At 37.9% G+C, this 24,140-nt stretch overlaps 1 long non-coding RNA gene and 1 pseudogene across 3 annotated transcripts in view; one reads left to right on the top strand and one right to left on the bottom strand.

Annotated features, from left to right (window-relative positions):
- SOX2-OT (SOX2 overlapping transcript) overlaps positions 1-24,140 on the bottom strand; it is a 685,549-nt gene that overhangs the window by 476,729 nt on the left and 184,680 nt on the right. The window lies entirely within an intron of this gene.
- FAUP2 (FAU pseudogene 2) lies at positions 22,550-22,883 on the top strand (annotated as a pseudogene).

The raw sequence follows: 24,140 nt of genomic DNA, 5'->3' as shown, positions 1-24,140 counted from the left end.
TGCTACACCAAAATTTGATGAGTGGTAGTTTCTTAAAGAAGAGTTTCAATACAAAATTTGAAAGTGCATCAGTGAACTTTTTGTATTCTATTACATTAAAATTTATTGCATAAACCTATCTTGCATTTTTTCCCATGCATGATTTGGTAACATCCTGCACTAATCATTTGGAAAATAGCAGTTCATTGATTTAGGCATATCTTTCAAATATAGGTGCACTTTATTATATAATATTGAAAAATCACATGGTTACTATCACCAGTAACCCCACTTAGGAAACTTTCAAGCTAATGGTGGAGGATACAAGTTTTCCAAGATTCTCATTTTCTCCTGAACACGCAAATTCTATCATTGGCAACAAATACCATCAGTTGTTTTCCCTGAAGTGATAAGGTTACTTTGTTCGTTTTTGAGGGCTGTCTGTCTAATAGCCACATCTGAAAGACTATTCTTTGTCAATCATTCTTTCAACCAAAATGGGGTTCTTTGAAAAAAGCAGGTAGTTCCACTTGTAACTCAAGCAATAGCACAAATGCTTTTCCTCGAGACAATCATTGCACTTTGGCATGCTGCAGAAGTGCTTTATGCATACTTCCCATTTCATCATAGAAAATATAAAAAAGATGTGCATTTGAGGGTCAAGGTTAAATAATAATCAATAACTCTTACTGTTCACTAAAGACATATTTTAATGAAAGTGGCTTTTTTTTTTTGCTTTAACTGTTACATGCATGTTTGTGAAGAATACAATAATGACTAGCAGAGTTTGGTGCTACTACATTGGTTAACGCTAAGCACCAGCAATTTTACACGTGGTTGAGTTTGCATCATAAATGCATATATCACCACCACAAAAATGCAAATAACTTCTGATCTTGGTACTATTATGAAAATAGTTTTGACTGTAGAATCCCTGAAAGAATCTTAGGAACCCCCTGAAGTTTGAAGACTGCATTTTGAGAATCCCCAGCCTAAATACTTTATGAGAAATTCCTCAAAATCTGGTAATCAGGTTTTCACTTCCAGGCAAGATACTGAACAATTTCTCTCTAGAGAAATGTCAGCTTGAGATTTAACACCTAAAGATAATGACATTTAAGGGTTTAACCAATGAAACAGCCAATGAATCCAATCAGTGGAGAATCCTCTCCCCCTAACACACACACACACACACACACACACATCCACACAGAGCTTCCTATATTTTCTTGTACCCTCACATTTTAAATATGACACAAAGTCAAAGATTCCTAATATTTTTAAAAGTTCTCTATGAAAAAAACAGACAGACAGATATAAACACACAAATTCTTAAAACAGAGGCAATGCAATTGGTATATTTTCTGGTTACTAATTATACATAAAAAACTAATATATCCATTAAACAAGAACAGATCAACAAAGAGCTTCTGAGTCTTAGAAAATATGGCACCAAAACTTAAAGAAATTCAGTAGTATATTTAGAGGACAGAGTTGACAAAAATCTTCTCAAATGTAAAACAAAAGACAAAGTAATGGAAAAACAGGAGAGAAAAGATAAGAAACGTAGAAAACTAATCTAAGAACCTTAAAAGCTGACCAGAAATAAGAAAACTTTGAGTTTTCTTATTCTAAGAGTTCCAGAAAAAGAAAACTTTGGAGAAGGAAATTAGCCAAAAATATTTTTCCAAACCCTAAAGAACTTGGATTAACAGATGACTGTGATATTTTAGAACTTTGAAGATAGAGAAGACAATACCAAAAAAAGGTGGTCATATATGAAATAGCAACAATCAAAATGGCTTCATAGTTCTCAACAAGAATTTTCAAAGATAGAGCACATGGAGCAATGCCATCAGCAAACAGTGATTATTTCTTCTACAACAGAGGTCTGCACTTAGCCAACTGTGAAGGTAGACTACAGACCTTTTTAGAGTCCTGTAAGGAATCAGAAGTACTTATCCTTATCCTTTCTCAGAAAACTCCCAGGAAATAATTCATCACAAGTAGAGTAAAGGGGAATAAATAGGCATGGGATCCAACCCAAGAGAAAAGTGAAGTAAACTGAACCATGGCAGTGGGGAATCCCAGGATGATGCTTATGTAGCAACCTAGAGAGCAACTAGTTTGATTGGAGCAGAAGGAAGGAAGGCTTCAAGAGGGTGGTCTCCAAGATAAAATGGAAACCGATATTATCTAGCATACCTGATCATATTGAGAGGGATGTAGTTCTAATAGATGATTTAAGGAAGAAAACCTAACAAACAAAATATGAGACAATGATTAAGTCCAGAAAAAAGCGAAGTTTAGAAGAAACAAAACATGACAGTAACATACCTTGAGATTTAATTATGAACAAAATTTATGTGATTGTAATGTAAACACCAATTATTCATTCAACCTAAATGTTGCCTCGGGGGAGGAGAAATAGGGTGGGGAAGAGGTCTCAGTAGATGTGTGATTTTCATGATGAATCTTACACTAGTTGACTTTTTAAACTATGTATATGTTTGACTTTGATAAAAATTAAATTGAGAACAAAATACAGCTCTGCAGAAAATGTTCCATCATGTGATTTTTTAGTGCTGCCTAAAATGACTATACACTCATTGTTCCGCCATCTGCCAGAACAGTAGTTCTCAAGTTTTTTCCTCTGAGACGCACATGACAAGCTATGTGTGTGACATAATCTCATGGATATTCCCATGGTGCTAACTCTAACATGATGTTTCTCTCCTGCTTAATTTACATGAGCTATCATTCGTGACCAGACTGGGCAACCCCATCTCTACAAAAAACTTCAAAAATTAGCCAAACATGGTGGCAAGTGCCAGTAGTCCCTGCTACTTGGGAGGCTGAGGTGGGAGGACCACTTCAGCCCAGGAATTTGAGGTTGCAGTGAGCTATGATTGTTCCAGTGCACTCCAGCCTGGGGGAGTGAGCAAAATTCTGCCTCAAAAAAACAAAGTTTTTGTAAATGTTTAATTATATCAGATATCTCTTTGAGATTTTAATTTAAATTTTGGGGGGATATATACCCAGAAGAGAAATTGTTGGATTATACAATAGTGAGCTCTGTTTTTAATTTTTGAAGAATCTCCATACTGTTTTCCATAGTAGTTGTACCAGTCTACATTTCTGTCCACAGTTTGCAAGGGTTCCACATATTCGCTAACACTTATATTTCCTTTTTTTCCTAACAAATGTCAGATAATATTTCATTGCGGTTTTAATTTGCATTTTATGACTGCTGATGTTAGACATTTTTCCATATACCTATTAACCATTCATATGTCTTCTTTAAGGACATGTCTGTTCTGGTTCTTTGCCCATTTTTATACTGGTCATTCATGGTTTTGCTATTGAGTTATAGAGGTTCCTTATTTTTTTTACATTGACCCTTTATCGGATATCTGGTTTTCAGCATTATTCCCACTAGCCAAAGCAATCCAAATGTTATCAACAGATGAATGGATAAAGGAAATATGGTATATACATACAATGGAATATTACTCAACCTTCAAAAAGAAGGAGATTCTGCCATTTGTGACAACATCAATGAACCTAGAGAACATATGCTAAGTGGAATAAGCCAGACACAGAAGGAAAAATACTACAACTCATAGAAACAGAGTAGAATAATGGCTGCCAGAAGCTGGGGTGATGGGTGCTGAACAAGGAGGCTTCATTAAAGGATATAAATTTTCACTTATGCAAGTAAGTTAGTCCTAGGAGACTATTGTGCAGCATAGTGTCTATAGTAAACTACTGTATCATATACATTAGAACTTTGCTGAGAGGGGAGATCCTAAGTGCTCATATCACACACACACACAAAATAGAGCAGGAGGGAATTTTTGGAGGTGAGGGATACATTGATGGCATTGATTGTAGTGATGGTTTCATAGGTGTATAATGATGTCTAGAACATCAAATTGTATACATTAAATATGTAAAGCTTTTTCCCTGTCAATCATACCTCAGTAAAGTGGTTTTAAAAAAGAAATTATGACTGGGCATGATGGCTCACACCTGTAATCCTAGCATTTTGGGAGGCCAAGGTGGGCAGATTGAGCTCAGGAGTTCAAGACCAGCCTGGGCAATATGGTGAAACTCTGTCTCTACTAAAAATATAAAAATTAGCTGGGCATGGTGGTGCACACCTGTAATCCCAGCTACTTGGGAGGCTGAGGCAGGAGAACTGCTTGAACCTGGGAGGCAGAGGTTGCAGTGGGCCAAGGTAGTGCCACTGCACTCCAGCCTGGATGACAGAGTGAGATTCTGTCTCTCACACAAAAAAAAATTATATAGAATACAAATGAATACAATATATTATAAGATAAATTTGAACACTTTTTTTGAGTCAAGGTCTCACTCTATCACCCAGGCTGGAGTGCAGTGGCACAATCTCAGTTCACTGCAACCTGTACCTCCCTGGGATGAGGTAATCCTCCCACTTCAGCCTCCTGAGTAGCTGGGACTATAGGCATGTGCCACCATGCCTGGCTAATTTTTGGTACTTTTTGTAGAGACAGGGTTTTGTCATGTTGCCCAGGCTGGTCTCAAACTCCTGGGCTCAAGCCATCAGTCTGCCTCAGCCTCCCAAAGTGCTAGGATTATAGGCGTGAGCCACAACACCTGACCTGAACAATTTTTAGTATGTCAAAAGTTCAATATTCACAATACCTACTTTATCTACACTTACTAACCATACCTCAGGACTGATCTCAACATACCCCATGTCATACATAACACTGAGTTTGATAACTGTTGAGTTATAACATGATTCCTAAACTCAGATGCCTACTGGAGTCAGGTGTATAAGAGTTAAAACATGTAAACCTCTCATTCTTTCCTTTTTCCACTTTTGATAGAGTCAAGAACCAGAGAACTTTCTTTTTATTATAAGAAAAGCAAGGGATCCTGTGTAATTCTGAATGAAAACAGATCCTCAGCCTCAGTATCTGACAGATCAGTGGGAGTGGTAGCAACTGTGGCAACCTGTACAGGGCAAGTCATTTCTAAGGTAGCCACCACTCAGTTCCGGCCAATTATGACCACACTAGAATAGAGGCATCTTCTCATGACCATCTCATCTCCATCTTGCACTTTCACATCCTAATATAAGTCCCATGATATCTGAGGGGGAAGTTACCAAAGATGTTTATGGACCATATGATCCATATTTCTAAGAAACTCCTGATTTTCAAACGGACCCTCCCTTTCAACTTATAAACCACAGAACGATCCTGGAGAATCCAACATTTTAGTGTACAGACTTTACCTCCCACACGGCTTCTCAAAACTGGAAAATATATACGAATCCCATCTCCAACTAGGTACTCCAACCTTCAGTTCAGATAATGAGGTGACCGTGTTTGTTATCCAATCCAGCTGTGCGGAAGCATAACTCCTTTTCTTGTTAGGTCATGTTATGCAACCTGGACTGAGCCAATGTACAGTGACTATATAGGGTGGAGATCGTGAATGTTAGATTTGGCAACTCCTCTAAAGGGACTGAATACTGTAGTTTACGACATAAGAAGATAATACCACAGCAGTAATCGAAACCATACTTCTGTCTTCTAACTCTTATTCAAGATCCCATAGCTCTCTCCCTAACCGTCCTTCCACAGCCTTTCCTTATCCTTCAAGCACATGTTTGGAGTGTTGCACAAGAGCAACTTCATCCCATTTTCCTTTTGACAAGTGCCTGTCTCTATATGTGGGTCTCAATCTTCCCACCAGTCCCAGAGGAAGAGGCTTCTGTCCTTCAGTTGAATGATCATGCTCTTCATTTACCTGGACTCTACACCTGTAGTCACCCCTCCTCCACAATGAAAGTCTTCCTTTCTATCTTCAGCCATGCCCAGAGTATCCCCGCCTTCAAACAAATGTAAACAAATCCTTCATTAATCCTTGTTTCTGCCAGGCACAGTGGCTCACGCCTATAATCCCAGCACTTTGGGAGGCCAAGGTGGGCGGATCACCCGAGGTCAGGAGTTCCAGACCAGCCTGGCCAGCCTAGTGAAACCCTGTCTCTACTAGAAATACAAAAATTAGCCAGGTGTGATGGTGGGAGCCTGTAGTCTCAGCTACAGCTACTGAGCTGAGCTCAACTCAGCTACTGAGGCTGAGGCAGGAGAATCGCTTGAACCGGGGAGGCAGAAGTTGCAGTGAGCCGAGATTGTGCCATTGCACTCCAGCCTGGGCGACAAGAGCAAAACTCCGTCTCTAAATAAATAAATACCCCATTTCTTCTTCAAGCTGATGCCCAATCACCCCATTTTTTCTTCTCATCCTTTACCTTTTTATTAACCATTCTTCCTGTTGTTTCCATCTAGCGCTGATTATGACTGTAATAATGGAAATGTGTCACATTAAAAACTTAATTTGCAAAATACTTCCATAGATACCATTCTTTTGACCCTCACAATAACCTTATGAAATAGCAGAACAAAAACTATCTCTGATTAATAAAAGAAGAAGCCTGACTTTGGGAGTGATGAAGACATTTGTATAAAGTGAACTACAGCCAGTAAGTAGCACAGGAATTTGAACACAATCCACTGAGTTGTGGGGCAGTGACTTTTCACCTTCTACTGCTCTGAAGATACCAGCTTTACTATGACTAGTGAACACCTTCTTGCCAAAGTCAATGATAATTTTCTTGGCCTTTTTACACTTTCAATTTTCTTCCCTTTAAAGTATATTGACTAATCTTCAAATGTTTTGAAGCATTCTTTGCTCTTTAAAACTCTTTCCCCAGCTTTTGAGACACTGCCATTTTCAGAATCTTACTCTGCTGTCTAGGCCAGAGTGCAGTGGCATGATCACAGCTCACTGCAGCCTCAAACCCCTGGCTTCAAGCAGTCCTCCTGCCTCAGCCTTCTGAGTAGCTGGAACTACAGACATGTGCCACTGTGCCCAGCTAATTTTTTAATTTTTGGAAGAGATGGGATCTCGCTGTTTTGCCTAGGCTGTTCTGCAACCCCTGGACTCAAGCGATCCTCCTGCATCAGCCTCCCAAAGAGCCACTGTGTCCAGCCTCTACACCCCTTTTTGATCTCTCCCAAAGCATAGATTTTCCTAGCACTCAACTTTCAGATTTTTTTTCTCTCTCTCTCTCTCTCTGCCTCTCTCTGTCTTTCTTGTATTTTTTTTTTTTTTTACCTTTTTGGTTCTCTTCCTGGTGAGTCCATGGCTTTACACAGATGACTCCAATATCTATTCTAAACATCTTCTAAATTAGAAGCTTAAAGACATCTTGAGCTTTAATTTTGCCTACTCTTTCTTTTCCTAGTCCATCTTTCACCAAGTTCCACTGTTCCTTGCCTAAAATGGCTCATGTCTGCTTTTTCTTTCTATCCTCATTACTACCACCCATCTGCAGGGGCTCACCAGCCCCTCAAGACTAGGTGATGCACTCTACAAAATTTCAACATCCTGACTAGTCCTCTCATCAGTGGTCATTTTCTTCCAGTCATTGTGCACACTGGATGATGTTTTCAATGTGACATATTTCCAAAACGGGGCTTTGTGTGACTGCATCGAATGGGCAACTTTGGGCCAGCCCTGGGTTAGTCAGAGCAAGAGAGGCTGAGCACTGCCACTAGAGGACCCGCTTTCCCGCTTCTCCTAGACATTGCTAATGAGTGTTGATGGGCAACTGATATATTACCCTGACTGGGGTGCATACATGTTTTATTACTGCCCTAGATGAGGAATGTTAAGAAATTTAGGATGCCTGGAGTTTAGAGTACATGCAGTAAAATGCTGCTAAATATTTAACAATTGAGTCTCCAGGGAAAAAGAAAAAGTCCTAATTCATAGTGTTTGCCAATTTCCATGGTATAAATATTCCTGCTATGTCTGATCTCAATCCACCAACATGACTTCACAGAATGTGGACTTGGGAAGAGATGCACACAATTGGCCCTCACAATGAGAAAGTGTTTATGGAAGAGGCTATAAAGGCCAACTGATACCAGGTCCTGGTGGACTTCATATGCCAAGTTTTAAAACCTCGACTTTATTCTATTGCAAAGGGAAGCTACCAAAGGTTTTTTTTTTTTTTTTTTTTAAATATAGAACATTCTCAGTGCTATGATTTGAATGTGCCCCCAAAGTTTATGTGTTGGAAACTTCATCCCCAATGCAACAGTATTGAGAGGTGGGACCTTTAAGAGGTGACTAGGTCAAAAGGGCTCTGACCTTATGAATGGATTAATGCTGTTATCTAGGGAGTGGGTAAGTTATCAACAGAGTGGGGTCCTGGTAGAAGGATGAGTTTGGTCTCCTTTGCCCTCTCTCACATGCTGTCTTACCCTTCCACTGTTTTCATGGGATTACTGCAGTAGGAAGGCCATTACCAGATGCAGCCCCTCAGTCTTGGACTTCCCAGCCTCCAGAACTGTGAGAAATAAATCTCTGTTCTTTCAAAATTACTCAGTCTTAGGTATTCTATTGTGGCAACACAAAATGAACTAAAACACTAAGATTTGAATGTTAGAAAAAGTATCCTTATTAACTTCCACATGGTTCCAAACTCATTTACTCCTCCCCTTTTCAAACTTTTAGCAAAGTATACTCACACATATATTTTCAAAATGTGTGAGACAAAATTTTACTATCATAATTATGGAAATTTACTTCAAATAAAACACCTCAAACTTTTAAAAATAGGAGAAAAATAACAGAAAATTTATAAAAATATAAATTTTCAATAAGCATATTTGAAGTAATAGTAATATTAAGTGATTTCAAATGATGATAAGGCATTTCACGTATTAGATTTGAAAATAGTTTTTAAAAGAGCAATAACCACTGTGTGATCTGAGTGAGGGATGGGAGATGACAGTTCTCATACATTGCTGACAGAACTGCAAAATGTTAAAAATTTCTGAAGGGTAATTTGGCAATATGTAAATATATAATATCTCTGAAAAATGGGCATAACTTTGTCTCAGAATTTACACTTCTAGGAGTTATCCTAAGTAAATAATTCCATAAATCTATGAGATATTCCAATAATCTATGGGATTATTCATTGCAGAATGTTTAAAATAGCAAAAAGAAATTGAACACCATCTATAAAGGTAGGCAATTGGTTTAATTTTGTATGCTACATCCACATATCAGATTATTATGTGACCTTTACAATTATAAGGTAGCTGTATTTATTGACATAATGTTTCTAGATATTTTAAAGTGGAAAATGAGGTTATAAGACATATATATATGTTTATAAATACATATTCTGAAAAATCATATAGCAATATAATGATTATATATGAGAAATAAAACATTTTAAATTTTTATCTGTATATTCTACTTTTTTGAAAGTGAATATAAATTATTTATGTATGTTATTCTCTCAGCTTAAATGGACAGTCAACATAAAAAAGTCATAGAAAGATTTTCTGTGTCTTTTACAAAATTGCTATCTATGTGTTACCTACTTAATAAGAGCAAACACTTATATCACACTTGACTATATAGTTAGCAGTATTCTAAAGAAGATATATACACACACACATACATACATATGTATATATGTATAAATATACACATATAAAATAGGGTTATTGTGTGGATCCAAATAGTTAAGTTTATGTGTGTGTGTTTGTATGTGTGTATATATGTATATGTGCATATATGTATATATACATACACAGTTAAGTTTGTGTGTACATAATATATACCTACATGCATATATACATACGCATAATTAGTTAAATTTATGTGTGTGTATATATGTATGTATATATGTACATACATATATACCTACACACACGTGCACACACACACACACACATAAACTTAACTAATTGGATCCACACAATAACCCTATGAGCTAGGTATCATTATTATCCCTATTTTACTGGTGAAGAAACAGATACACAGGATGAGCAAAAAAAGATGAGCAATTGCCCAACTTCACACAGGTAGTAATTAGTAAGCCAAGATTCAAACCCAGGCAGTCTGGTCACAGTGTTTATACTCTTGACCATCACACAATACTGACTCTTGCTTAAATTTACTAAGCTTTAACTGTTTTACCCAAATAATGGGAATAATAATATTACTATCTTTTGGGCTTGCTGTTGGGCTTAATTGAAGTTATGCATGAAAGAACTTAGTTTAATATCTGTCACATAGTTGAGTTAATAGTGCTAGCTATTAAGGATAACAAAAATAATAACACTACTACTAGGACCTCACCTACCACCACCAATTCAACTTCATTTATTTCCCATTATGCCCCAACATATACTCTATGCTTTATTTCAGTTAACTTTCGAATATGTTATGTTTTCCATATGTCATGTGTCATACTCATGCCTCTGCTCATGCTGTTGGCCCCACTGAAATCAGGTGACTGGACTTACCCAAATCACATTTGGCTATAAAGCCTAGCTTAGCTCAGGTCCCTTCACTGATGACTCTGGCCTTCTGACCTTCTGTTGCCCTACACTCACTCATTAACACACATGAGAAAATTAATACATTATCAACTGCCAATTCTTTCTACCTAACAATACAATAAGCTCTGTGAAAGCAGGGATGAATGTTAGAGTGTTCTTCCCTTGCACCCCTTTTATCAGTTCCAACCTCCAGAAGACAGGACTTAGGTATTTAACACGTATTTGCTTTATTTCTACCTACTCATGGAAATATACCCATAGAAATAGAAACTCGCAATTTATCTAAGTTTCCTAGCAGTTTCTTTCCAGAAGAAGATAAATCACAATATTATAATCAGGGGAATTAAAATCATATGCAAATGCAAACTCAGACAAGCATGCAAATTTTGTTATTGTTATTAATATGTAATATGAGTCAATAAATACACAATATTAATTACATAACCAACAATAGCTATAACTATTGCATGTCTCCTTTGTGTCAAGCATTGTATCAAATGATTTATAGATAGGACTTCTTACTGACAACCCTAGTATTAACAGAAATAGTGAATTTGTAAAAATGAAAGATGAGGTTAAGAACTTGTTTCGTAGAGCTAGGAATCAAATCCAGTTTGGCCTGACTCCCAAATACACTGTTTTTCTGTATATCTCCCTTCTTCCATATCTTTATACACAGTTAAGATTTAGGACTTGTTTTTCTATTTCTTAATTATATCAATCAAAACTACCTTTCTTGCCAAAATTTGCCTTTCTAAAACTTAGGGTCAGTATAGAGCACTCTGTTTCAGATATTCTCCCAGGAAATTTAGTACAATAATACCAGAGGGATGTTGTTTTAAAGGAATCTTTAACTAAAGTTGTCCCACACCCTGGGTGCTGTTACCATGAAGCTCTGGGTATCTATAATTATTAGAGTCATTAGGAAGTCCAATAAGCTCAAGTCCTTTTATGGCCAAGGACACAAGGAAAAATCTGAGTCGACCTTTCAGAAAAAATATATCTAAATCCCCTTGTGAATAAGATGGTAAAACAGTTAATAGTGTCACTGTGACAGTCTCTGGAGTCTTTGTTCTGTGGATGTATGGACAACTTTATCCGGGTATTTCAGCCTGAGGCACTGAGTTATAAATAGAAGCAGAGCAGTTCAGAAGAAAAGACTCCAGGCAGCTTACATGAAAGTTGTACTTTGATTCCCTCTCTGAGTACCATCTCTCCTTTTGTGGTATGTCGTCACTTCTCCTCAGACCCAAAACCTAAGCCACTCCTGGACCACTCAGCTGGACTCTCAAATTCAGGAATTGCATGGAACAAACTAAAAAACATTTACATTCTTCACATGGAAAGATTTGTGAAGAGCCCCACATCTCTGGTAAATGCAAACAGCTATAAACAGATGTAACCTGCATTTACTAATAATAACTCTTATCCTCAAATCATATTTTTAAGTTTGAGCCCAACACAATATTGAATTTCCTCATTTTATTTGCTTTATATTTCTAAGCTGTCCTGGATGCAGCAACTAAATGAAATAAATGTTTTAGGAAAAAGCAGCTGTTTTTAAAATGTGGGTATTGGTTTTATGTAATACAAACTTTTTCCAAGTTTTTTTAACTTACAAAAGTCCTTGTTGTATAGTTTCTATTATTTGAGCAATTTTTATAATGAATATGATAATGTTAGCTATTTTTCTATAGGCATAATAGAACATAAAATTCATTTTCATGCAATTAAAATTCATTAGAGATTGGCATTTTAAGACTTAAAATCTTTTCTGAAAAATAACCTTTGTAAAAATCCAAATGTGTTCCCTCCCCCTTCAACAAATGTTGGCTTTTGTTATTTTTTTATATGCTGCATATTGAATTTCCCAGGCTGTGTTTCTGAACAGCAATCTACTGAAAAAAGTGCAATTATTTTTTTTCACTCAAACATGCATTTGAGAGAAATGAGTAGATCAGATAAAGAGCTGAGATGCTATTCAACTCAACCTTGAGTCACTCTCTGTCTCTTTAAAAAAAAAAAGGTGGCAAAATCAATACAAACCAATAATAACTTCACATTTGTGGAAGCAACATGAATGGCTCTCCAAAATATTGAGACACATCCAAGTACATTTTCGTAGAGCTGATATTTATCAGAAGTCATTTGCCCTCAAGCAGATGCTCCCTTTCATTGTGCTCCTGTCACAAATGACTAAGATTTATGACAGACAATTACAGCATCTGCAGTTAGCAGCCTTATAATCAGCACCATTATTTAACGATTGGTGCAATAAACTGACTCCTGTTACTGTTTATCAGATATCAGTCAGTTCTGGCCATTTTCTTCAGCTCCCAAATCACAGTATGGTGCAGCCACTGCCTTTTAATGGCTAGGCAGAAGCAGGAGCATTTTCACATTTTTTACAGACTGCCGAGGGAAAGAAAAAAGCAACCAATTACATGTATGTATGCTGCCCTCTCATTTGAGATGCCCGTGTATGTAACTATCTGTATACAGTTCTAAACCTCTTGGGGGTGAAAAAAAAAGCTTTTACTGTGGAAAGGGGCTTTTTATATTAAAAACAAAAACAAAAACATACCGCAAAATAAAAGCAAAGCAAAACAAAAAAACCCTCTTGCCTTTATTTTTAAAAAGTAAGTTCTCTGTTTAGATTTGCATTTCTTTCTGAGTATAAAATGTTGCTCTGGTGGCCCACTGTTTTGTCATGTAAGTGTGGTTTCAGCTTGCCTTTCACAACCAGAAAAGTAGCTATTGTCCCTGAAAAATATTTGTCAAGGAGCAATTTTTTTTTCCAAACTTTTTGTGAGGTTTTACTCAAAGGGAATTGCTCTGGACTCAATAGAGTTAAGTTTTTCATCAGTCAAAAAGTTGACACATAAAAGAGGCCATGTGTATGTGCCTAAAAGTCACTTACATATTACATATTACAGAATTCCATATTTCTAAACATACAAACAGGCAGAGGTATATATATTATTTAAAGTCCTTCCATAAGAAACACTGCATTTACATATCAAACATGAGGGGCAGGCAACAATTCAGAAGCTATATGGAAGGCAAGACTTCAGTGTAATATGGAAAATGGTATAAAGATGTAAATTTACAGTCAAAGTAAAAAGCTTATGCAATGCTTCTGTAGATGTCTTAGTGTCAAACGGTAGTCTAGTTATTTAGGGAAAAACAAAACAAACCGCAATGCCAGACCTTACTGATTCCTGTCTTTTGTTACTTTTTTCCATAACCAAAGAAGCTAAGTTTCTCATTCATAGCAATAAGCATTTTATCCAATGTCTTCCATTTTACATATTTGATAATATGGTATACGCCTAGATGGATATATTGATGTGGCTGCCTTTGCAATTTAAAGTCTATAATTCATCCACAAAGTCACATGTTTCTTTCGAGGTGTGACATGATACTGGAGAACAGAATAGTGCATCCTTTTAATGAAAAAATAAATAGTGATTAGCCTGGCCAACATGATGAAGCCCCATCTCTACTAAAAATACAAAAATTAGCCAGGCGTGGTGGTGCACGCCTGTAGTCCCAGCTACCCAGGAGGCTGGGGCACAAGAATCACTTGAACCCAGTAGGTGGAGGTTGCAGTGGGCTGAGATTGTGCCATTGTACTCCAGCCTGAGCAACAGAACAAGACTCCATCTCAAAAAAGAAAGCGAAGGGAAGGGAAGGGAAGGGAGGGGAAGGGGAAGGGGAAGGGAGAAGGCAGTAAGGCAGGAAAGCAGAGTAACCCCATGGGAATCAGATTCCTTTCTGGAAAAATGCAAAAGGGGTTTTATTCAGTCAACATGTAAAATTAGTTATTTTCTAAGTTGAAACTTTTACAAAGGCTTCACAGACCTTCACAAACTAGACCTCAGACCTTCACATAAGTCTTCAACAGAGGAATGGTGAGAATGAGGGTTCTCAGACTGTTCAAGTTAGAATGACCTTAGGCGTCCTTCTGTGCAACCCTCTCATTTGAGAGATGGTGAGGGTGAGAGTCAGAGAATTAAGTGATTTTCGCTGGAGCACAGAACTAGATATTGGCACAGCTATAATTAGAACTCAAGTGTACGGCTTTGCTAGCTAGGTCCCTTCCTGCAGAGTCTACACTAGAGGACCCAGCTGCTCTCTCCAAGCCTGGCAGAAACCAGTTCTTTGGCTCTGCTGAGGCACATCCTACTTTGGGTGTTCTGTGCCCAGTCCTCCTACAGAGCACACTGCTGTAAGGCTCAGGGAAACAAAAGTTTCCATGAATCTGCAAGACACTTACTTTACGACTTCAAAAGCTGAATCTGGAGCCAGAACAAAACAACTATTCAGTCACATAAACATATAAAACTTTTATTCCATTGGTTGGCATCAAAATAACTCAAGTTGTTGGCTTTTAAATTTTCTAATAGTTTGATACCCTTGTATATGTCTAGGGTTTTGTTTGTTTTTCAAGTTTTTTCTTTCCATTTTGCACAAGTGATTGCAAAGTTTTGCAAAATAAAACCATTTAATTTCACCAATTTGGCAGCATAAAATAATCACAAATTTTGTGCAATCAGGAAGAAGCCAGCATCAAACATTTTTTGTCTGTCATATACAGAAATATATTAATGCATACACAGTTCTCTCATTCAATTTTAGTAAGATTGAACAAGTACTTTGGATGTATCAAAGAAATTGGTATATTTTCTACAGATGTCCTGCCCTTTTCTGCAGGGTTAGAAGGAAAAATTACCCAACTCACAGCAAGTTACTGCCTTTGCAACCCAATGAAAAAGCCATTGGCACTGCAGGCTATTAGCAGGTGTTCCCAGGAAGCTCAATCTGGGTCGACACTATTCTAAACACATGCAGGTGGCATTTCAGTAACACACCTTTACACCAAACCCTGGTGCAGAGTTGATGGCAATGATGAGCCCCAACAGATTTGACTGCTTCTTAGTAAAAATAAAGAATAAAAAAAATAGTAGCAGGGGGAAATTTTTCTTTAAGAACCTTCTCTGAGGCTATTTGGAGCAGACAAGTGGGAGAGAACCCAAAGAAAGTCTATGTAGTTCATATGCCAATATTTGGTGGCTGGTCCCTGAGGACAGCATGGTGCAGAAGCTAAGGGTCCAGGCTCCTAAGCCAGCCAGATCTGGAAATGAATATGGATCAGGCTTGGTGAGACTTTGCCAGAGTTCTTAACTCACTAAGTTCAATTATCTACAAGGTGAGGATGAGAATGAAATTGAGTAAATAAAGCACTGATCACTGGGTGTGATATGCAGATTGCTGCTTAAATGTTAGCTGCTGCTACTGCTATTGCTGCTATTTATACATACAATTCCAGACTGAATTGCTTTGCAGGTAGAAATTTGGACTTTAGAGTCAGGTTCAATAAATAACGCTCCCTGAACTTAGCTATATAAAATTTTCACACTAATCCCAGCTAAAGCCTATATACTTATTCTATCAGTCTATCTAAAACATACATATGCCGGGCGGGGTGGCTCACACCTGTAATCCCAGCACTTTGGGAGGCTGAGGCAGGTGGATCACGAGGTCAGGAGATCGAGACCATCCTAGCTAACACGGTGAAACCCCGTCTCCCCTAAAAATATAAAAAGTTAGCTGGGCATGGCGGCGGGCGCCTGTAGTCCCAGCTCTTGGGAGGCTGAGGCAAGAGAATGGCGTGAACCGGGAGGCAGAGGTTGCAGTGAGCCGAGATCACGCCACTGCACTCCAGCCTCGGCGACAGAGCAAGACTCCTGTCTCAAAAAATAAACAATAAAAATAAAAATAAAAAAATAAAACATACATATATAAACAATAATTATTATTGTATCTCATTGACTTTGGTTTGGTTCCATTGTAAATAAACTAAATGAATAGAATGCAGATAAAACATAAAGATATTATGAAGTACATGATTTCACTTTTTAAATTTAGTAACAATATTACCCTGGGGACAATGGAGCTGGTAATATGAAAAATTCCTATGACTACTGTTCTAAAAAGGAGAGTATATAGCTTTTAACTGCTTGTTATTTCAATTTTTTCCAGTTTTTTTTTTAACAATCTATCCACAAAAATAAGGTTGAAGTTAGTAGAAGGAACCAAGGGTTCTCCTTAAGAATCAGAGACTCTGAATCAGATAAGTTGCTGAACAGCAAAACTGAGTCAAATCACAGTGGTGAAAGGGCAGGGAGTCAAGAGTGCCATCCATTCTTAAGGAAGTCATGACACTATTTCATGACATAATGAGGAGGAAAAACAAGGCTTTGGGCATCTCTGAGTTCTAGTACAGGTCCATACTTAGTAACTACTTTGGACAAGTTATCCCCTCTAAGCCTCAGTTTTCTATATGCAAACATTAAATAATAGTAATATCTACCTTGTTGTTTGAGAAATTAAATGAGTCAACATATGTAAAGTGTAGCACACAGCTGACATGTAGCAGTCACTAATTAAATGGTTTATCTAGAAATTGCCCCCCAGCTTTGCTTTTATCACTGTGTTGTTCTGTGCAAGTGTGAAATGCCTTGACCCATTGTAGAAAAGTGTCCTCAATAGCAGAAAGTGTATTATAATTACAAATAGGTAACTTGTAGTCACCTAAACATTTTTAGAAACCAAGTGCAAATCTATTTTTTTCCCGAAAAACAACTTCATGTTTTGTTTTGTATTTTTTTTTAATGAGGCTGCAAATCAATTCCATTAATTCAATTCCACTGCAGGTGTTGGCCAAGCATCAACTTTTGCAGTAACAGTAGTAGTAATTGCTCTGGTGCTGAAAGGTGCCAATTTTTCCATATATTATTTAGCTAAATATAAAGTAAAGCCTTTATGAAAAGCATTTTAAATCTCTTCTGTGCTCTTTATCTGATATTCTTAGATGCTGTATCATTTTAGTGCCTACTTCCAATAATTAATTTCCTGCATTCTATGATACTTTCACAACTGTGATTTAAGAAGGTCTATGAAGAGGTACTCTTTTTATAAAATGAATGTCACAAGTAGAATGGATTATTTTTATTCGTTCATATGTGAAGTTTACTCACTGATCTTTGGGTTAGTATGTAAGACAGCATACAGTATGACTAGCAATATAAATAAAGGAAGAATTCAAACATTCCCCATGCCTTTAATGCTATTCTAAAATGATACTAAAACACTAAATTTTCACTTAAGAACAAGCACTTCAAACTGTGATGAGAAGTTTACTTTACAAAGGATTTTCACTGCATTTGAGCTTTGCAAATCCCTGATGGGGTAGCTGGAGAAGGAATTCTTATACCCATTCCAAATAAAGAAAAAGTGTGACTTAGAAAGAACCCAGGGTCACACAACTACAAGAGGCTAGAATTCAAGCCATTTCCTCCAGGTTTTTTCCTCTATTCCCACTACACATGATTTGTTTGTTTTTGGCTTCACTAAGCTGACTTAATGTAAAAACCTTGAGTTTTGGAGATAGCTCCATCCTTTATCACCAGCGGTACGGCCTGAGACAGGTCACTGACAATACAAACTGAGGGTAAGAATGCCCTCCTGGATGCAGATTCCAGTCCCTCCCATTAAGCTTCGTGACTGTGGATGGTTACTTTGTTTTTTGGGCTTTTACTTCCTAGTGTCACTAATGAATAAAACTCCAACTTCATGGGGCTATTATAATATATCATATATTATATAGATGGAATGAGATATTCCTGCTAAAGGGCCAAATACAACACATAGTACATAGTAAGGGCTCAAGAAATATGTTATTATTATTAATAAAATTGGACTAAAATCCCTACCTCCCAAAGTTGTCTGTGGTATTAATAAAATAACATATTAAAAGATCTTGTATCAGCAAACTATTATGCCAAATTTAAGTGTTATTGTATTATTGCTGTTGGCAGCAGCCTAAGCTCATTTAGTCTAATTTCTGAGCCTTCAACCTATGGCCCTACTTGACCCAGGCATTTCTAACAATGTTGAATGTTTTCCTATTAAAAAATGGACAGAATATGGAAGAGAACTTTGATTTCCCCTGTGTATTGTTGAGATCTGAACTACTTTCTCTCATTGTCTGGGCAAGTTCAACCTCCTGAGAGGCCACTGGGAGGATAATCTCGAGGATTATAGGATAACATGGAGCACAAGGGCAGTGGAAAGATGAAGAACTTAATTCAGGTAGAGTTAAGACAAAATAAAGAAATGCCTAGAAATGGTCTTCACTACATAGTAATTCCTCTGGCTCTACTAACACACAGGGATCCAACTTTAATGCTCACATGGTTTCTGGGGCATTTTACGCTCTCTCTTTAAAAGACCCTCTGCTAATGTACACAATGTACCGGTAAGCCTATAGCATTACACCTGCTACTGGCCTTGCCCTTACTTTCTGGTTTATCTGATTTCAAATCCATCTTTTCAAGCTGTACTGTGACTAGCTTTTGTTCATGTTTGTTTATTATTATTATTATTATTATTTTTATGAGACAGAGTCTTGCTCCGTCGCCCAGGCTGGAGTGCAGTGGCACGATCTCGGTTCATTGCAAACTCCACCTCTCAGGTTCATGCCATTCTCCTGCCTCAGCCTCCCAAGTAGCTGGGACTACAGGCGCCCGCCACCACACCTGGCTAATTATTTTTTTATTATTTCTTTTTTTATTTTTAAAGTAGAGATGGGGTTTCACCATGTTAGCCAGGATGGTCTCGATCTCCTGACCTCGTGATCTGCCCGCCTCGGCCTCCCAAACTGCTGGGACTACAGGCGTGAGCCACCGCGCCTGGTCTAGATTATTTTTTAATTATTAATTTCCAACTTTATCGTATGCATGAGGCCAAAGAAATGCCTTTTATAACTACTCTTTCCTTTAGAACTGGGGTAGTTGGCCAAGGTTGTGTTTTAATAATGACCAGTAGCTGTGAGGAGGAAGGAGCTGGGACAAAGGTGGTAACACTTGCAGTTCAGGGATTCTCACTTGCATGGGCCATTTCCAAGATCCTGAGAGAGATTTAACAATAAAAAGTGGTGAAATATTTGTCAGCTTAAAAAAATTGTAATCTATTATCATTTATATTTTAAGTAAATATTGATGTTTATTTCATATTAAATTTATAATCATGCATTCTTCTTCTTAAAGGGGCGTCTCTTAATGGTATAAGTTTACAGTTTGCCCCTGAGTTGGGGACAATGACACAGGCACCGAAAGAGGCAAGCAAAATTTGGTCCTTTTGGAATTCTAGGGAAAGAGATCAGAGGCACACTTCTAGCCGGGGAAAGCCTAGAAGCATCAGATTGTTGAATAACTTAGCAAGTTTACCTGGCATACAGGATGTAGCATAGAGGAAATGAAGATGTATTGGGGCTCAAGGCACAGTTTGTTAATTAATAAGTGAGTTAAATATAGTAGACTGTTTTAAACTGGTTCTGGACTTGCTTGAACAAACTTAGAGCAGAAGTTCCTGATAGTTACTTCCAAGATGGGAAGTTGTCCACATGATCTTGGAGATTAATCTAGCTCAGTATTAAATGCAAAGACTTTTTTAATTTTAATATTTTTATTATTTTTTTTTTAAATTTTACTTTAAGTTCCGGGATACAAATAAAGAACCTGTAGGTTTGCTACACAGGTACACATGTGCCATGGTGGTTTGCTGCACCTATCAACCCATCATCTAGGTTTTAAAGCCCCACATGCATTAGCTATTTGTCCTAATGCTCTCCTTCCCCTCGCTCCCCATCCCCACACTGGCCCCGGTGTGTGTTGTTCCCCTCCAGTGTCCATGTGTCCTCGTTCCTCAACTCCCACTTATAAGTGAGAACATGTGGTATTTGGTTTTCTGTTCCTGTGTTAGTTCACTGAGGATGATGGCTTCCAGCTTCCTCCATGTCCCTACAAAGGATATAATCTCATTCTTTTTATGCCTGCATAGTATTCCATAGTGTATGTGTACCACATTTTCTTTATCCAGTGTATCACTGATGGGCATTTGGGTTGGCTCCATGTCTTTGCTATTGTAAATGGTGCTGCAATAAACATACATGAAATGCACAAATTTTTAAATGTCCCTAAAAAGGATATAATCTCATTCTTTTTATGGCTGTATAGTATTCCATAGTGTATATGTACCACATTTTCTTTATCCAGTCTATCACTGATGGGCATTTGGGTTGGCTCCATGCCCTTGCTGTTGTAAATAGTGCTGCAATAAACATACATGAAATGCACAGATTTTTAAAGCCATACCAACCAGGTTTGAATCCTTACTTGGCCACCAACTAGCATTAAGATGGGAAATCACTTGGTCTCTCTTATGTCCTAGTTTCCTAATCTATAAAATGGGATACTACCAGCATCTACCCTTTAGACTTGTCAAGAGGACTAAATACAACCAGGTGTAGAAAGCACTTATCACAGTGTCTAGAACATAAGCGCCCAATGAATTTGAGCTCTTTCTATCCCTCCCCAGGTTTCCTCCCCTATTATCTGCTGCCACATCAGCTGTCTGTGGCACTCTGATTATCTATGGTTTATTTTGGTTGTTGTATTTTCTTTTAAATAATGATGCTCTTCATTTTAAAACAAATATATTCTTCTTGTATCAAACTTAGAAAGAAATTAAAAAGTGTAATGCAGAAATTTCAAATAATTTAGATATCTCTATGGCTCATTCATGTAAGCTGCATGTCTTTTTTTTTTTTTTTTTTTTTTTTTTTTTGAGACGGAGTCTCACTCTGTCGCCCAGGCTGGAGTGCAGTGGCGCAATCTCGGCTCACTGCAAGCTCTGCTTCCCGGGTTCACGCCATTCTCCTGCCTCAGCCTCCCGAGTAGCTGGGACTACAGGCGCCCGCCACCGCGCCCGGCTAATTTTTTTTTTTTGTATTTTTAGTAGAGACGGGGTTTCACCTTGTTAGCCAGGATGGTCTCGATCTCCTGACCTCATGATCCACCCGCCTCGGCCTCCCAAAGTGCTGGGATTACAGGCGTGAGCCACCGCGCCCGGCCAAGCTGCATGTCTTAAGTGTCTACATGGGTCAGGCAATAAGGTTTGACTCTGTCACCTCTAGGTCCTGCTTTCTTCCCAGTCCATCTCTCTGTACTATTCAATTTATTTAAAATAAGGGGTGATAAAACTTTTGAAATGTATTCAGTCAGGTAACTAAGGCCAGTTCTACTCTTAGGTAAAGTTTAACTTCTTTATCTATTGTTCTAACTTAACTACCTACAATAATATTAAGATTAATCCTAATCATAGTGAGAACTGTGTTGTTCTACGTGGTACACAAAGTTCTTTCATTCAAATCGCACTATAACCCAGTGTAGGGACATAAGATGAGCACCAACATTTGCAGTTTACAGATGAGGAAACTGAGGCACAGGGAGGCTAAACAGGTTGCTGAAGGGAAGTTAAGTGATTTGGACCAAATCACAGAGCTAGGATACAATGAGCCTGAGAACCACATCCTCGGGATCACCAGGGCAGCACCTTCAAACCTAGAATTTTCAAGAATTGTTCGCAGCCATCTGAAACTTTCTCTTTCCATTTTCAATTTCCTGCCCTCTGCCCACTGGACAGCCCATTCAGCTCCCATTTCCAATCAAAAGAATACCACAGAACACTCCCAGCTCCAAGTTCTCAAATAACCCATTGAGACGAACCTGAGGATTGTTTGTAACTCAAAGGATAAATGCTTGAGGAGATGGATACTCCATTCTCCATGAGATGCTTATTTCACATTGCATGCCTGTATCAAAATATCTCATGTACCCCATGAATATATACACCTACTATGTACCCAAAAAAAGCTTTTTAAACAAATTTAAAAATTTTTTTATAAAGAGATGAACCCTAGGAAGAGCCCACTCAACATCTTTTACCACAGCCTTAGAGGCAATCTCAATACAGATGTGATGAGAACAGTTATCTATTAGTTTGCTCTGAAAGGCAGCCATCAGAATTCTTTTTCAATATGCATTTTAAAATTAAATAATATGTACTAGCATTTCCTCTCTCCTTCACAAGGAGAGAGAAAAATAAGCCAAGATTAGCAACAGGTCATTGTGTTGCTGCTCTGAGCAAAACCATCACTTGCTTTTGTGGAAAGTAAAAGCTTCCAATAATTTCCCATGTATCTATTTTCTTACATTAAGCTTCAAAAATAGTGGGTCCTCTTTCTCAACTCTGTCTTTGTGGTAGCAACAGTGGGGAGCATGGTTCATGCAGCTCTTTGTCCGCGCCCAGGAGCTACACACCCTTGAGGTGACTGGCCAGGAGGCAGCTGCCCAAATCAAGGCACATGTAGCCTCACTGAAGGGCACTGCCTGGGAAGATCAACCTGTGCTCCTGGCAAGCACACCCCTAGAGGATGAGACTACCCTGGGCAAGTACAGTGTGGAGGCCCTGATTACCCTGGAAGTAGCCATCCACATGCTTAGAGGGAAAGTCCATGTTTCTCTGGCCCATTCTGGGAAAGTGAGAGGTCAGACTCTCACGGTGGCCAAATGGAGGAAGAGGAGGAGGGGGAGAAGGAAGAAGAAGAGGAAGAGGAAGAAGAGGAAGAAAAAGAAGAAGAGGAAGAAAAAGAAGAAGAGGAGGAGGAGGAGGAAGAGGAAGAAGAAGAAGAGGAAGAAGGTGGAGGAGGAGAAGGAGGAGGAAAAGAAAAAGAAGAAGAAGATGATGACAGGCAGGGTTAAGTGGTGGATTCAGTACAACCAGCGCATTGTCAATGTTGTGCCCACCTTTGGCAAGAAGAAGGTCCCCAATCCAACTCTTAAGTCCTTTGCAATTCTGGATTTCTCTAATAAAAAAGCCACTTAGCTCAAAAAAATAAAATAAATTAAAAAATAAAAATAGAGGGTCACTAGTCACCATAAACAATGCTTATAATCCTGAATTGAAATAATATGTCTAAGAGGAAAGGAAAGAAAGGAGAGTTTAGTAGATTATTCAACTACCTTTTCTTATTCATAGAATATTCTCAACCAATTAATAAGCAATTAATTCACATCAGCTGAGATGCCCAAGGAAAGAGCCATCTGATGCATTTATTAAATTAACCCAATACTCTCTGAGCTGATATCAACCGAGAAAAAATACAAGGAATAAAATAAGAAGAAAACTTGGAAAGATTTTAGGGACCTACTTCCCTGAGCTCTAAATAATATCTACAGTAAAGGAGACAGAGTAGAAAGGGCAGGTTAAATTCAAAGAAGATAGGAAGATAAAGGTTGTATGGGTATTCTGAAAGGAACTTTGAGTAATATCTGGCAAATTCCACAAAAACATCATAGAAATTAGTCTGCAATTTCATCAGGAAATTCTTTTAACTCTTTGACAGAGTTCTACAATTTTACCTACTTATACCTATGAATAAGATTGTTAGGACATTTTGTGCTGACATCTATAGCAATTTCATTCTCTGCAGGCTCTCGGTAATTTTAGATCTCAAATACACCTTGTAAGAAGTTCATAAAACATAGAAAAAAAAGTTCATCATAGATTCCTAGAGTATCATGTTTCTTAACCCTTGTCCAGACTAAATCCTTTATTATTTATCAAATATGTATACATGTTTACATCAGGTACAGTTCCAGATGCTTTATGCATATTATTTAATTCTTCCAACAACCCTCTGAGGCAAGTGCAGAGGTCAATTTGCCCAAAGTCATAATAGTGAAACTGGGATCCAAATCCAGGCCATTTGGCTGCAGCATCCATGTGCCTGACCACTAAACTATGTTCTCGCTACTTGAATAAAGG

Source organism: Homo sapiens, chromosome 3 (assembly GCF_000001405.40).
Source record: "Homo sapiens chromosome 3, GRCh38.p14 Primary Assembly".
In the NCBI taxonomy this organism is placed as follows: domain Eukaryota; kingdom Metazoa; phylum Chordata; class Mammalia; order Primates; family Hominidae; genus Homo; species Homo sapiens.
This window is presented reverse-complemented; position numbering and strand designations above follow the sequence as displayed.